The following is a 14701-nucleotide window of genomic DNA, read 5'->3' as shown; positions in this document are numbered from 1 at the left end:
TTTAGTACACATTATTGGCATAAAAAAATTACTTTTAAAGTAAAATGATCTGTTGCCTAAAACTGTCATATATTGATTTATACCATCAGCTCATATTTTCATAGTTGTAGAAAAGTAAACCTCTCTCTTACCTTATGAATTCCAAATATCAGCAAGGAACAACTTTAAGAGCTATGTTAAACTCCATTTATTTATATGGTGGATTACTACACTGAGATGTAGAGAATTTTGATCTACCAAGCTCAGGTTTTAAACAGAATGTAACTTATGTTTTTCCTTGACAAACTGCAAGGCAAAATTTTTGCAGTGCAATTACTTAAGGAACTTACTTTATAACTGTTCCTTTGGTGCCCCCTGCTGTTGTTAGCATGACTCTTGTGGTCAAACTTACTCGAAGATCATCTTGGTCCAAACCCAGTAATTCAGCACAATATTCCAAAGACTGAGCAGATTTATTCTTCAGATTACAACCACCTAATAGAAATATATTTTCATTGAAATTAATAAGTATTATATAAACCAGATTTTCAAGACCCATTTCTTAGAATTATACTTCACTTACAAAAAACCATATAATAGGCAAGGCTTATTTGTAACTTTTAAATCTACCTCACTTTTTCACTATCCTTGTCAAACACCCGTACTGCTAAGATCAACAGAAGATCCTCCCTTGGGGAAGTCCATGGTATAATCCTTTAAGCACATCAATATTAAACTGTCACTGTTTCATTTTTTTTGACCCTATAAGCAAACTACACTGATAGATTATAATCCTTTTCAATATATTAACTCTTTAGAGAAATAGAGTATCTCATCATTAAAATTCATATGACTTCAAGAAATTTCAAGGAGTAATTTTAGTGCAAACGCTGTAAGGCACCTAAATAGATCAATTTGGATGTACATATCTGTCTATGGATGTGTTTATGCATATACGTAATAAGCATGTACTCATATTGCTTGGGGTCGAAGGGAGTGAAGAGACATTTACTATTACCTGTACAGGCTGAGTATCCCTTAACTGAAATGCTTGGGACCAAAAGTGTTTCAGATTTTAGATTTTTTCCAGTTTTGGAATAACTGCATATACATGATGAGCTGAATTCGAAACACAAAATTCATTTATGTTTCATATACACACTAATATACATGTATACCCCTGTCCAGTTCCTCCAACAGCTTGACTTTCTGTGCTAGAGATCAGTACAAATGCTTCCTCTTTTCCTTATTTACTGTTACCCTTAGGGGTATCTGCAAGCCTTTTTGACATTTTCAATATCTTTACACTGCAGAGCAGAGAATAGCAAAAAAAAAAAAAAAAAAAAAAAAAAAAAAAAGCAATGCAGTTAGGTCTTGACCCATGTGGGCATTTTGAGAAATCTGCCATTGGCACATCCAGCCTGCACGTGTGCCATTTTATTTTTTGTGTGCTTGCACAGGGGTATGTGAGGAAAAGATATATTGCAGCAGAAGGTGGCCAGGCAGGTCATTTTTGCCTTAGTACATCATATCTACAGATTTCTATTTATAAGGGCTGCTTTAAAAAGTACTATAAAGAAAGAAAGTGCTTTAGTCTCAGGGCTGATCAGGCTCTACAACTACTAGCTATGTGACCTTGAATAAGTTACTTATTCTCTTTGTGCACAGTTTCTTCGTCCATAAAACTGGGATAATTACTTTACCTACCTTACATGGTTGCTATTTAGATTAATGAGGTTATGTATGTGAAATGCTTGGAATAGTGTCTGGTACAGAGAAAGTACTAACGATTAACTATTCTTTATATTTATTTGCATTATAATAAAAAATAGCATTTTACAAATATTTTCAGATTAATATTAATAAACGATATATTCTAAGACTACCTAATTAAAAACTACAAAGAATGTGTGAAAATCATGACAATTTTATGACAAATTCATAAACTACTTAACATACCAATCTTAGAATATATATGAGAAAAAAATGTGAAAAATGAGACCTTACAATAATAAGATGTTGGGACAATTCACTGAGGAAAGAACAGCTTCTTCAATAAAGGTACTGGAACAACTGGATGTCCACATGCAAAAGAATGAAGCTGGACCCCTTCCTCAACCATAAACAAAAATTAACTCAAAATGGAATCAAAGACTTAAATGTAAGAGCTAAAGCTATTAAACTGTTAGAAAAAAACTAGGTATAAACCTTCATGATCACAAAGTAAATCTTCATGTCTTTGATATAATACCAAAATCACAAGCAATAAAAGAAAAAACAGATAAATTAGGCTTCACTGAAATAAAAATTTGAGTTTCAAAGAACACTATCAAATGAGTAAAAAGATAACATACAGAATGGGAGAAAAGATTTGCAAATTATATATCTGATAAAGGACTTGTACTTAGAATATATTTTCAAAACTCTTACAACTTGGTAATAAAAAGACAACCCAATTAATAAATGGGCAAAGAATCTCAACAGGCACTTCTCCAAAAAAGATATACAAATGGTCAGTAAGCACACAGAAAGATGCTCAGCATCTTGAGCCATCAGGAAAATGCAAATAAAAACCACAAAAAGATAACACGTCACACCCTGTACGATTGCTATAAGCATACACATAGTACTGGTGAGGATATGGAGAAACTGAAACCCTCATACGCTTCTGATGGGAATAGCTTTGTAAAGTGGAAAAGCTGCTTTGAAAAAGTCTGACAGTTCCTCAAAAGGTCAGAGTTTACCATGATGTGATTCAGCAGTTCCACTCCAAGGTATTTACTCAAGGGAAATGAAAACACATCCAAACACAAATTTGTACACAAACGTTCTCAGCAGCATTATTCATAATAGCCAAAAATGGAAACAACCCAAATGTCTAGAAACTGACAAATGGATAAACAATGTAGTATATCCATACAATGAAATATTATTCGGCAATAAAAATAAAATGAAGTACTGCTAAATGCTATAACATGGATTAACCTTGAAAACATTATGCTAAGTGAAAGAAGCCAATCACAAAAGACCACATATTGTATGATTCCATTTATATGAAATGTCCAGAATAAATTTATAGACAGGAAGTAGATTAGTGGTCACCTAGGGTTGAGAGAAGTGGGCAATGAGGAGTGACTGCTAATGGGTACAGGGTTTCTTTGTGGGGTGATGAAAATGTTCTAAATCTATGGTGATGGTTGCACAACTCTGAAAATACTGAAAACCACTGAAATATACACTTCAATTGAGTGAACTGTATGGTATATTAACTAGATCTCAATAAAGCTCCTACCAAAAAAAAAGAAAAAAGAGAGATACTTTGAGAATATTTTGAATGTTTCATTCTATGAAAATGTGCTTATTACTCGTGTAGGTTCTATACATATACATATTGCCTAAAATTATATAGCTCTCAAAAAATTGACCATCAAATAATTCATTTAAATATTTCTTCTTTTTTACTATATCGCAAAGTTTCTTACACACCTCCAAAAATTATGTAAGGCTAAGATAAAAAAAAAAAACAGGATTTTTAATAAGTCTTAAAAGGCAAAATACTATCATGTAAAGTTTTCATATCACTTCTTTCCAAAAAAGAACTTCTTCAAACATTTTTAAAGTTTCTTATAATAACATTTTATCTGTTATGTGGAATTTTAAAAACATAGGCAGTCCCAATGCAGTTTTCTGCATTTTCATCATGCAAAAACTTCTTTATGACAGTTAAGAGTCCTATAAGTGCTTATTGGAGAATAATCTTTCCAGTAGAATAATTATAAAAATACCAAATTTTTTTGGAGACAGGGTCTCACTCTCCCAAGCTGGAGTGCAGTGGTGCGATCATGGCTCACTGCAGCCTCGACCGCCAGGGCTCAATCATTCCACCTCAGCCTTCCAAGTAGCTGGGACTACAGGCATGCACCACCATGCCCAGCTAATTTATTTTGTGTGTGTGTGTGCGTTTGTGTGTGTGTTTTGGGGGTTTTTTTGTTTTTTTTTTATGGGGTCTCACTATGTCGCCCAGGCTGGTCTTGAATTCCTGAGCTCAAGTAACCCTCCCGCCTCAGCCTCCCAAAATGCTGGGATAACACGCAAGAACCACCATATCCTGCCAAAACCAACATTTTTTCAAATTGCTAAGACATGCCAAATTAAGCTCCCTAGGGAAAAAAGAAATCACTTCTAATTAGAAAGAAACCATTTGGATCTATAGGAAGAGTCATAGGAAGGATGAAGACAAATATAATAAAATCTTAGCTTTTAAAATAATTAATTGAATCACATATTAATCTTATTGATTCCCTGTCTCTTTCCAATCTTCCCTGATTTCTGTTCACTTTACCCTCAATAGAAGGAAGTTAGAGAAGAAAAATAAGAGATAACGCAAATAGCATTACCTTTTGGGCATTTCATACTCTTCAAATAACTTGATCATGCAACACTTATAATACTCTATACAACTGCATCTTCTACCACAGGGTAATAATAAGAGGTGTGAAGATGCCATTTATCACTTCTAACAACATTTCTAAAGTGTGTATTAATTATTGTAAAGACTTTTTTTTGTGTTAGAATCTCCCACATATGCTCCTTTGGTATAACAATGCTAGAGAGCAAATGAAATGTATGCTAACATTCATTACATTTTCAAAACAAATTTTCCAATCCTTCAAAAAAAAACAAAAAATTTTAATGCACATTAAGAACATATCTAATTTTGCTTGAATTTTTTTTTTTCATTTTAAATTGGGAGCAATCTGTATTTTAATTGTACTTACTCATTTAAAGCACTTATAATGATTACTATGTGCCAGACACAAGTACTCAAATCATTTACAAATATTTAACTCGCGTATTCCTCTTTACAACATGAGGTAGGTACTATTATCTTCAGTTTACAGTGAGGAAACTAAGACACGAAAAGGCTAAGTTCCCTGCCTAAGGTCATACAGACAGTATGTGGTAAAGCATCTGGATCAGGAGCACGTGCTCCCATCCACTATGTTATGTTGCATCTCACATTATTGATTTCACAGCATTACAGAACATTAGATCTGAAAATCATTAAGACATCTGTTTTAGTCTGTTCATTCATAGATGACAAATTTCAGTGGCCTGGGAGAAAGAAGGGACAATTATCACAAGCCTCTGTGTTAGTCAGACATGAGCAGAACCAGCTCTCACATCTACAACTTCATCAATAACCACATGCATCATTTCAACACAGGTTCCACTTCTGTAAAATGGAGATAATATCCCCTACCTCATTATATTTATGATATACAGATTACAATTACGATGTTTATGATGAAATGCAGAATAAGAAGAGTCTTGCATATAACACTTTTTTTAATCTTCTTTTTTTTCCTGTCTTCTTGTGCTCTTTCCCTATATGCACACTATTGCTAGTGAGAGGAGGTGCCCGCTGGCCTTCCTGGGTCGAGTAGGGGCTCAGGAAGCTGTGAAACTCACTCATTTCCTGTATCAGGACTTACTTTGGTCCTGGATGAATAATATTAAAGATATGTGCTTAAAATATTCCTAACACCAGGATTTGTGCATGTGTTTTCTTCCCCAAGAAAGCTATAACAGCAAAAATTTTGCCATAAGCTTCCCTATGTCCTCTCTCCCTCTCTCCCTTCCCCCTCCCCTGAAACTAAAAGAAATGTTAAATGCCCATTTTTCTGTGACCAGTGGGCCTTATCTATGCTCCTAATTCCAACTCCTTGTAAACATACTTTGTAAAGTCCCGTAAATTCCCGTCTCCTTTGCCAAGCCGCTGCAAGGTCATAAAGTAAATAAAACCTAAGTTGCAATTCCGGTTTTCCTCAAAATCTAAAACACATCACAAAATAATTTACTGCCTTTGTTTCTCGCTCTGGTAACATCTTCCCCCTGCACGTATTTCCCGCCTTGAAGAGTTTAAAAGGAAACTGCATAATCTAACTCTGGCTACCCACTCGGGACCCCTTCCACACTGTGAAAGCTTTGTACTGTCACTCTGCTCAATAAAGTCTATGGCTTTTTTTTCTCTTGGTCCCTGTCTCCATCACTCACTGCAGGCAGCCACCACACCAATTCTTTGGCATGGCTAAGGCAAGAACCTTTAGCATTACACTAGGTACTGGCTGTACTTTAAAAGTCCTTCTCATGGTTTATTTAATCTTGCAAGTGAGGAAACCAAAGCTCAGAGAGCCTCTGGGATCTAACACCAAAGCCCATTATTGACTACTACATTAAATGGTGCTGTAGGTTTTCCTTAACTCATCCTTGGTATAAGATCGTACAATAATGTCTTAATATAGGGGTTGACAATCTTTTTCTCTAAAGGGCCAGATAGTAAATATTTTAGGCTTTGCAGGACATATAGCCTCTGTTGCAACTACTCAACTCTGACACTAGCACAAAAGCTGGTATAGACCACACATAAATGAGTGGGTGTGGCATTGTTCCAATAAAATTTTACTTACAAAAACAGGCAGTGGGTCAAATTTGGGCTGTGGTTCATAGTTTGCCATTCCCTGTATTCGTAGATCAAATTTAGAATTATGCAAAGTCCTACTGTTCATGTACAGACTGAAACACTGGAGTTGAAAAGTTGCTTTTGCCATGTATTTAAATACTCTTTTCAATCTGCATAAGATTAAAATTTTCATTTATTTTCATTTCTCATTAATAAAGTACATGGGCTTTTATATATTAAATTGCCCTAATTAATTCACCCAATGATCCTGAAAATTTTCAAAAATGCCTTAATAGATGATAGAGAATTAATCTTCTCACCTATTGGAAAAGTGTAATATAACTGGAAAATTTAACTAAAAATTACCCTAAATTTATCAGGATAAAATAGTCAGTTATTTATACTTCAAAAATGAGAGGTTTATTCCTAAGCAATATCACTGATTTGTTCAAAACAGAGCTCAGAATGACTGATAATGAAACATTCTTCATTTGGGAGATTCAACATTTAACTCAGTATATTTTAGATATTTCTTAAAGTTTTTAAGCAAACTGCATATAAAGAGACAATTTTCATATGACAAATAAATAACAGAAATTCTATTTAATTTTTTTCCTCTTAAAAAAATAAAAAGCAAACCTGAAGTGCTGCCAGCTTCCTCAAAATCAATATTTCCAAGGTGCAGGACGCCAGCTACTACCCGGAAGAGATCAAGCTTTTCTTCATCATCCAAACCAATTTTTTTCATAGCCGTGCACATTCTAATAAAATCACCATGGTCATCTAGCAGAGGATCTTTCATAGAACCTGCCTTAAGGTACTACAAAACAAGAAGACACCAATTAACTGATCGTTACATTATTTAAGTACACTAAAACTACTACACCAGGTCAATTAATGCACTATATAACATGCAAAAATAAAATCTGTCAATGGGAAAATCTTTACTATTCTAACATTCAAAAACTAAATGACCATGAAAAGTATACACAGGATCTCTCTGTTCTATTTCACTATTTACTACATGTGAATCTACACTTATCCGTAAAAATTTCAATTAAAATAATGAAATTAGATGTTTTTCAATTAAATTACAATTTTCGCTCTAAAGTCTTATAATCCTAGCATATTAGAAAAAGACAAAAATTGAGTGAAAAAGGAGGGAATATCAATACTTGAATCAACATTACAGTTTTTTTAAATGAGGTAATGATAAATATATTCATTTAATTATTCCACAATGTATACATGTATCAAACATTACATTGTATTCCAATGTACTGTATAAATATACATTATTCTTGTTAATTAAAAAAAGAAAAAGTAAGTTAAAAGGTGCAATAAAAAATTTAAATGTGACAATCAGTATGACTCCTTTAGGTTAACTGCCACCAACTGCACCAATATTAAGTTGTAGTAAATAGGGGTCAGGCTGATACAATTTTCATGCCTTAGAATTCTTTTTTAAACCTTTTTATATGCATATATATATATGGTAAAGTATATTAGTAAGCATTATACTTACTCTAATAATTTACACAATGACTTAAAACATTTCAGAAAAAATGAGAAGAAAATTTGTTTTCTCTCCTAAAAGAACTTGCATCTAATGTGCTCATTTGTTAGACTCTATACCAACTCAGAAGAAAAAAAGAAGAAAGTCAGGACTGCAGAAACTAGAAGGAGAAACATAAAAGTTACTGGACACGAAAAGATTGTACTAGAAATTTTCCAGAACTTGAGAATATACAAGTTAAACATTAAATAACAGGATCATGATTAACTGATCATTAAAGATGCCTCCTGGAGATGGATATTTTTTCCTCCCAGTAAACAAATGATTCCCAGCTCAAGCTATAATTGTCTTTCCACAAAATTATTTAAAATGTTCAATTATGAATGTGTAACATTTCTGGAAAATATCTAAGACAATAAAATTCAATTTTATTCTTAAAAGAAGCAAAGGAAACAATCACATGCAGCCAAAACTGTTCAGCAGAAAACACACATCATGCAGAATTTTTAGTCTTGCAGTCAAAGAATTGCTTCATTTAAAAACTGTTTCTAATCAAAAGTTAATGAACATATTTGCTGTATGGCAGACTAAAAATACTGCATTTTTCTAAAAATTACACACAACCTAAAGACATTCAGATGGAATTGGGCAAAGGGTTTAATTAGTCAAAATGATCACCTCATCCTCCTGATAAAGAAGACATAAAAAGTAATTTAAACATATTAATCCATTATTTAACTGTACATATAAACGCACACTCAATGTGAATAAGATTTCTGAAAGAGTATACTGACTCTAGAATAAGAGGGCAATTTTCTTCTTTGGAGAGTACATGCTACTCTTTGGAGAGTAAACTCGTTTTCTTTCCTCTCTACTCCATTTTTTTCCATGGCAAATGATCAAATTTATATCTTTTTCCCCCCTTCAGAACTGCTGAAATGTCCCACTAGGAAAGGTCTCCATTATCTTAGTGAAAGGAATATAGCTACTATATTTTGATATCTCAGAAAAACATAGTCTTATCAAGACAAAGAAAGATACAATAATAAATATTAATGTTGCTTCTTAAAAGTACCAACCATGGCTATAGCAAAGTTTATAGTTTGTAATTCAGATTCTGTATCTATAATGATATATAAAATGCCAAATTAAACAAAAATTAACTGTAGGGTTGTCTGCTTAGAATTTTAAATAATGGAATATTTTATTTGCTTTCTATCCTTTTATATAAATATGCTAAAAATATAAATCATCTCATTCATTTTAAGAAGAGTAAAAAATATCGGGCTTACAAATGTAGAAGCATTAAAAACTGACTATTATAAAAACTTGTTCGATTACTCAATTTAAATATTTAATAAAATTAATAAAAGTAACATTAACCAGTATCTATCATTAATCCTTACTTTAGTATTTCATAACTTAAGCCCCTTGAGTACGTGTAACTTAATATCACTTATTAAACACTGCATATTAAAATTTATAAGGGTTGTAAATTTTTACATTAAGAACTTAATGTGTTAAAAATAATACTTAATGGTATAATTATATCTAATTATTCTTAGAAATATAATTTACTGAAACCAATATATAAATTTTTCATAATATATTACATAAATATGATGTTTTAAACAGAACTACAATAATATATAAGCTTTTTTTTTTTTTGAGACAGAGTCTCGTTCTGTCGCCCAGGCTGGAGTACAGTGGTGCGATCTCCACTTACAACAGCCTCTATCTCCTGGGTTCAAGCGATTCTCCTGCCTCAGCCTCCCAAGTAGCTGGGATTACAGGCACACACCACGACACCTGGCTAATTTTTGTAATTTTTTGGTAGAGACAGGGTCTCATCATGTTGGCCGAGCTGGTCTCAAACTCCTGAACTCAAATGATCCACCTGCCTCAGCCTCCCAAAGTGCTGGGATTACAAGCGTGACCCACTCCACCTGACCAGCTTTTTTTTGTTTGTTTTTAATTCTGTTGCCCAAGCTGGAGTACAATGGCATGATCGTGGCTCACTGCAGCCTCCACCTCCAGGGTTCAAGCAATCCTCCCACTTTAGCCTCCCAAGTAGCTAGAACTATAGGCATACACGACCTCACCCAGTGAATTTTTTTTATTTTTTGTAAAGATGGGGTTTCACTATGTTGCCCAGGCTGGTCTCAAACTCCTGGCTTCAAACGATCCTCCCGCCTTGGCCTCCCAAAGTGCTGGGATTACAGGTGTGAGCCACCACGCCTAGCCTATAAGCATTTCTTCCCAAGAACGCTTAATCTATTTACTGTCTACATCAAACCTCACGTCAGCCTTGAAATAGACAATAAATTGTAAAAGACATATACTTAAGCTCAAGTGGGTAATATAAGAGCAAGTTTCAAAAATGCTAGAAGAGAATGATTCTTAGGCAATTTAATACCTTCATGCTTGAAAACAGAATGAGAGGAGAGCAATGCAGTGATGCCCAACCAGAAGAACCAGAACCTGTCACTTCACTAGATAACAACAAGAGGTATAAAGTATTACACTGTGACAGAGACTTAGATGAATATTTAATTTTTTAAAGTATAAGCCTAAAAGTTAGAACTCTTACTTGGGCTCTAAAATAAAAATTATAACACATCTTTCAGCATGAGTTTTTTTTTAAGTTAAAGATTTTATGAACAATGGTCTACTATACCTCAGGACTTTTGCGGTTCTGTAAAATCTGTTTGTCAGTTTCTTTGTTAGCAAAGTATCTAGTGCAGCCTCGGTTTAAATACTATGACAAAACAAATTAAACATAATTAACATATATGATCCACAGGGAAATAATACAGGAGAAAACACAACTTACCAAATAGTGCCAACCATGAAGAATTTCTAAACACAACTTGAGTACTGTATAATCTCACCATTCAAATCAATACTTCTATATTTTATAAGCATTTTCTTCCTACTAATAAAACCAGGAATATTAAAAATCCTAATCTCTGAGCATAGATTAAATAAAATGATTAAAAATCAATGACATAAAAGTTTTCTACTTTTAAAGGGCAACAATTTTATATCTTTTCAGTATCAAAAATCTAAACATAGTGTATAAAATCATGAAAATCACCTTCCTACTAAATATGTAGAATCTCAAGTAAGAACCGATAGTATGGTTTAATTTTTCAAGTAATATTTTAAATTCTGAGAAGTTAAGAAATTCTATCCTTGATTTTCTTAATTTTTGATTTTTAGAGTCAGTTTTTTAAAACATGCTTTTCACATTTATTGAAAGCTAACAATGACTGTACATAAATTACACTACTTGCTTTATGCTTTATGGATCAAATAATTTAAAGTTTTCTTATTTCAGTGATTTACTTCACTTACCAAAGGCTTTCAAAAGCTAAATGCTTCCAAAATATAGAACAAGAGGAGTAGTTCAAAAAAAGAAAATCTACTGGTATCAACAAGAATCTACTGCTCCCATTTATTAGTCTCACAATTGAAGGCTTGCTTCATTTAAAAACTGTTTCTAATAAAAAGTGAATGAACATATTTGCTATACGGTAGACTAAAAGTACTGCATTTTTCTGAAAATTACACACAGCCTAAAGACATTTAGATGGAATTGGGCAAATCTGATCAGAAAGGATGTACACAGAGAACAGGATGGACAAGTTTTTTTAAACATCTCAGCTTCTCTTAAATCAGGTTGCTATGATTTTATTGTACCATGGCATGAATTCCCAAATTAAATACACCTCATCATACACATACCAAAAAAAATTTTATAAAAATTTGAATGATTTGGGGATAAATTAATATTTTAGACAATCAATGCCTCTATCTTTCCTTCTCCATTATAATTAAATGCTAAAATACAGTAAAAACAAGACAACTATATACATGGTTTTTTTTTTTCTTCCACCCTAGAATCTTTGGGAAAAAAATAAAAGAGAAGGGAGCAGGGACAATGTTGGTAAGCATTTTCAATGGACTGTTTCAAATAAGAGCTCTTTTACTTAGCAGAATAATAGTTTAAACATGTAGAGCCAAAATAAATATGTTCTTTGCTACCAAGCACTTTGTCTCCTCACTCCAATTGTTTTGTCAAATACTTTGCTTCTGGACAGTGGGGCCTAATATTACAACCTTGGATAGAAACGTGTCCTTTTAGTTTTTCTGTAACTAGAACACTATCCCGGCCATCTATTCTTTTTCTATCCAAGCCTTCTTTACATTCAAGGATCTATCCATGATTACAGCAATTGGCTCCAGAAACATGTGCAGAAATATTTGAAATGTCTAAATGCAAACATTTTTAAACCTTTTACTTTTTAAAGTATATGTGTGGTTAATAAAAATGTTTACAGACAGGTATACATCCACAATTCTTTACATACTAATTTTGATAGAGTAGTGACCAAAAAAATTCAACAATTTTACAAGTGTTCAACCTACTGCAGGTTTCCCCTTTGTTTTTAAAACCTGATCTCTCAATTATAACCAGAGGGCTAAACTACAGAAAAACCTGATGAAATCACTAACACACTTTCAAGTGACTTTAAGGCAGAATTATTTGGGGGAAGTGGATATAGTAGTGGGTGTGTTGTGCCTGCATATGAGAGGAATATTCAAGATGGCAGATGTATGCAACGCTGTTCCCCTACTCTTCCTCTTACCATCACAAGGACTCTCCTGTAAGAAAGGAAATCAGGCCTCCTGGTTCACACTGCAGAAACAGGAAATCCTCTGACCAGATATATTTCAATAGCTGCCCTTTCAGGATGCCTGCCATTGTACCAGGAAAGGCTGTACATTCTGAAACCCAAAAATACTATACTCCCAAGCCTCCAAGCAGGAAGAAATGCTAGATTAAGGCCAGAACAGTCACATCACTTTATTGTCAGCTAAGTATTGACAAAACCGTATCATCATTATTATATTTCATGTAATTCCTAGTAATTTATTCCTTTTTTAAAAACCATAGTAAAAAAGAAATGCTTCCTTTACTTTCATGGAAATGTGGGCAACTAGCTTCAAATTCCAATTAATTTGGAGAGCTCTAGAAAAGACTGGACATTTTAGAAGTATATAAAGAGATACATTTATAAAGTGTTTTAAGACAACAGACTTTTAAAATTTGCAAACACACATTAAAAGAAATTGAAGTAAAAGAAAAGCTGTCTGCAAACACACACGCACACACACAACCACAGAGCAGTAATTATGTGTGTTATGATTCTCAAATGGAGGCTTTCTGACCAAAAAAGACTATCAGAATCAGCTGGGGAACTCTATACAGACGACATTCCTTACTCACATTGCATTCCTTTGTATAAACTACATTCCCATACTCCATACAAGTACACTGTTTTCTAACCTGAGAATCTGAAAATTGTGTTAACCAAACCATCCCCAGTCACCGCTCCTAGAAACTCTACTCGCTTGTAATGCTCAGGTGTGTGTGTGTGTGTGTGTGCATGTGTGTGTGTGTGCGTTTCCCACCACATCTAAGTTGATCAAGAGCAGGGACTGTGTATTATTTATCTTTTTAATCCTGGCCCAATGCCTGGCACCCAATGGGCAAGCAATAAATATTTGTTGTTGAAGTAAATTAAGAAATTCAATCATGTGTCCTTTATTAATATTAATTTAGTGTTCAAACATTTTTACAGATAAGTCAAAGGTAACTTTAAAGCTAGTATTACAGAGCTATTATCAATTTCTAATTGAGTTTAAATTGACGTAGGGTTTAACATCTATCCTTTTATCTATTCCATTATGTGCCTCCTCATACAGTGTTATACTATAAACTCAGCAGTACACCTTAATAGAGATCTTCTCAGTACAGTGGTCATTCTAACATGTTATACTTGATCCAATGTAAGTTACATACACACAACAAGTAGATTTCAAAATTCACTAAAATAAGTATTAGGCTTGATGGCAATTATATTTTCAAAAATTATACAAAATTTTTTTTTCTTTGAGATAGGGTCTCGCTCTGTTACCCAGGCTGGAGTGCAGTGGCACAATCATGGCTCACTGCAGCCTCAACCTCCTGGGCTCAGGTGATCCTCCCACCTCAGCCTCCCGAGTAGCTGGAACTACAGGTGAGTGCCACCATGCTCAGCTAATTTTTTGTATTTTTTTTTTTTAGAGACAGGGTCTCGCTACATTGCCCAGGCTGCTCTCGAACTCCCAGGCTCAAGCAATCCATCCGCCTCAGCCTCCCAAAGTGTTGGGATTACAGGCATGAGCCACTGCACCTGGCTATATGAAATTTCTTTTCTTCTGACCTACCCGAAAATTATCTGGTGAACTCAAATGAAGTTTTTCTCTAATATCTTCAGAAGCACCAGCACACAACCTATAAAAGATATGATAATTTCTTTCCTCTTTGCCTTGAACACAGATCCTAGATTTCTCTAGGAGATAATGTGAAACAAATCCTCCAACAACTGAGCTCTAAAAAACAAAACACAGAGAAAATATATTTTTGCATTTAAAGTCTTAAAATATAATTAACCAATGTTAAATTATTTACCTTTTCTAATACCATTTGTCTATCAAAGAGGTTATAATATTCACCAAATAAAGGGGAAAAAACAAATAACTAAACGTAAGCACAGAGTATTTATAATGGTCATCCTTCATTTTAAACATCCCCATTTAAGTCTCTACCCAAATCCTGTTAAGTTTTGAGCCTCCTAAGAATCACAATTGACCTTGCACCGTACCTCAACACAGGTGCTAGAATATCTTACATG

General features: G+C 33.7%; 1 protein-coding gene across 17 annotated transcripts in view; it reads right to left on the bottom strand.

Annotated features, from left to right (window-relative positions):
* MYO6 (myosin VI) overlaps positions 1 to 14701 on the bottom strand; it is a 170299-nt gene that overhangs the window by 63925 nt on the left and 91673 nt on the right. For 14 of the 17 annotated variants that reach the window (NR_160538.1, NM_001368865.1, NM_001368866.1 and 11 more), the window contains exons 9-12: positions 14235 to 14399; positions 10636 to 10716; positions 7082 to 7262; positions 330 to 474 (exon numbers count right to left, since the gene is read on the bottom strand). Coding sequence is in view for 15 of the 17 variants with exons in the window: in NM_001368865.1 (NP_001355794.1) it covers positions 330 to 474; positions 7082 to 7262; positions 10636 to 10716; positions 14235 to 14399 (572 nt within the window). In the remaining 2 variants the exon portion in view is untranslated. Of the gene's footprint in view, positions 1 to 329; positions 475 to 7081; positions 7263 to 10635; positions 10717 to 12808; positions 14400 to 14701 lie in introns of those variants that run through there. The other 3 variants (NR_160539.1, NM_001368139.1, NM_001368140.1) reach the window with 1 other exon arrangement.

The sequence above is a fragment of the Homo sapiens genome, chromosome 6 (genome assembly GCF_000001405.40).
Source record: "Homo sapiens chromosome 6, GRCh38.p14 Primary Assembly".
NCBI lineage: Eukaryota > Metazoa > Chordata > Mammalia > Primates > Hominidae > Homo > Homo sapiens.
The sequence above is the reverse complement of the archived record's forward strand: the minus strand, read 5'-3'. Positions and strand labels throughout refer to the sequence as shown.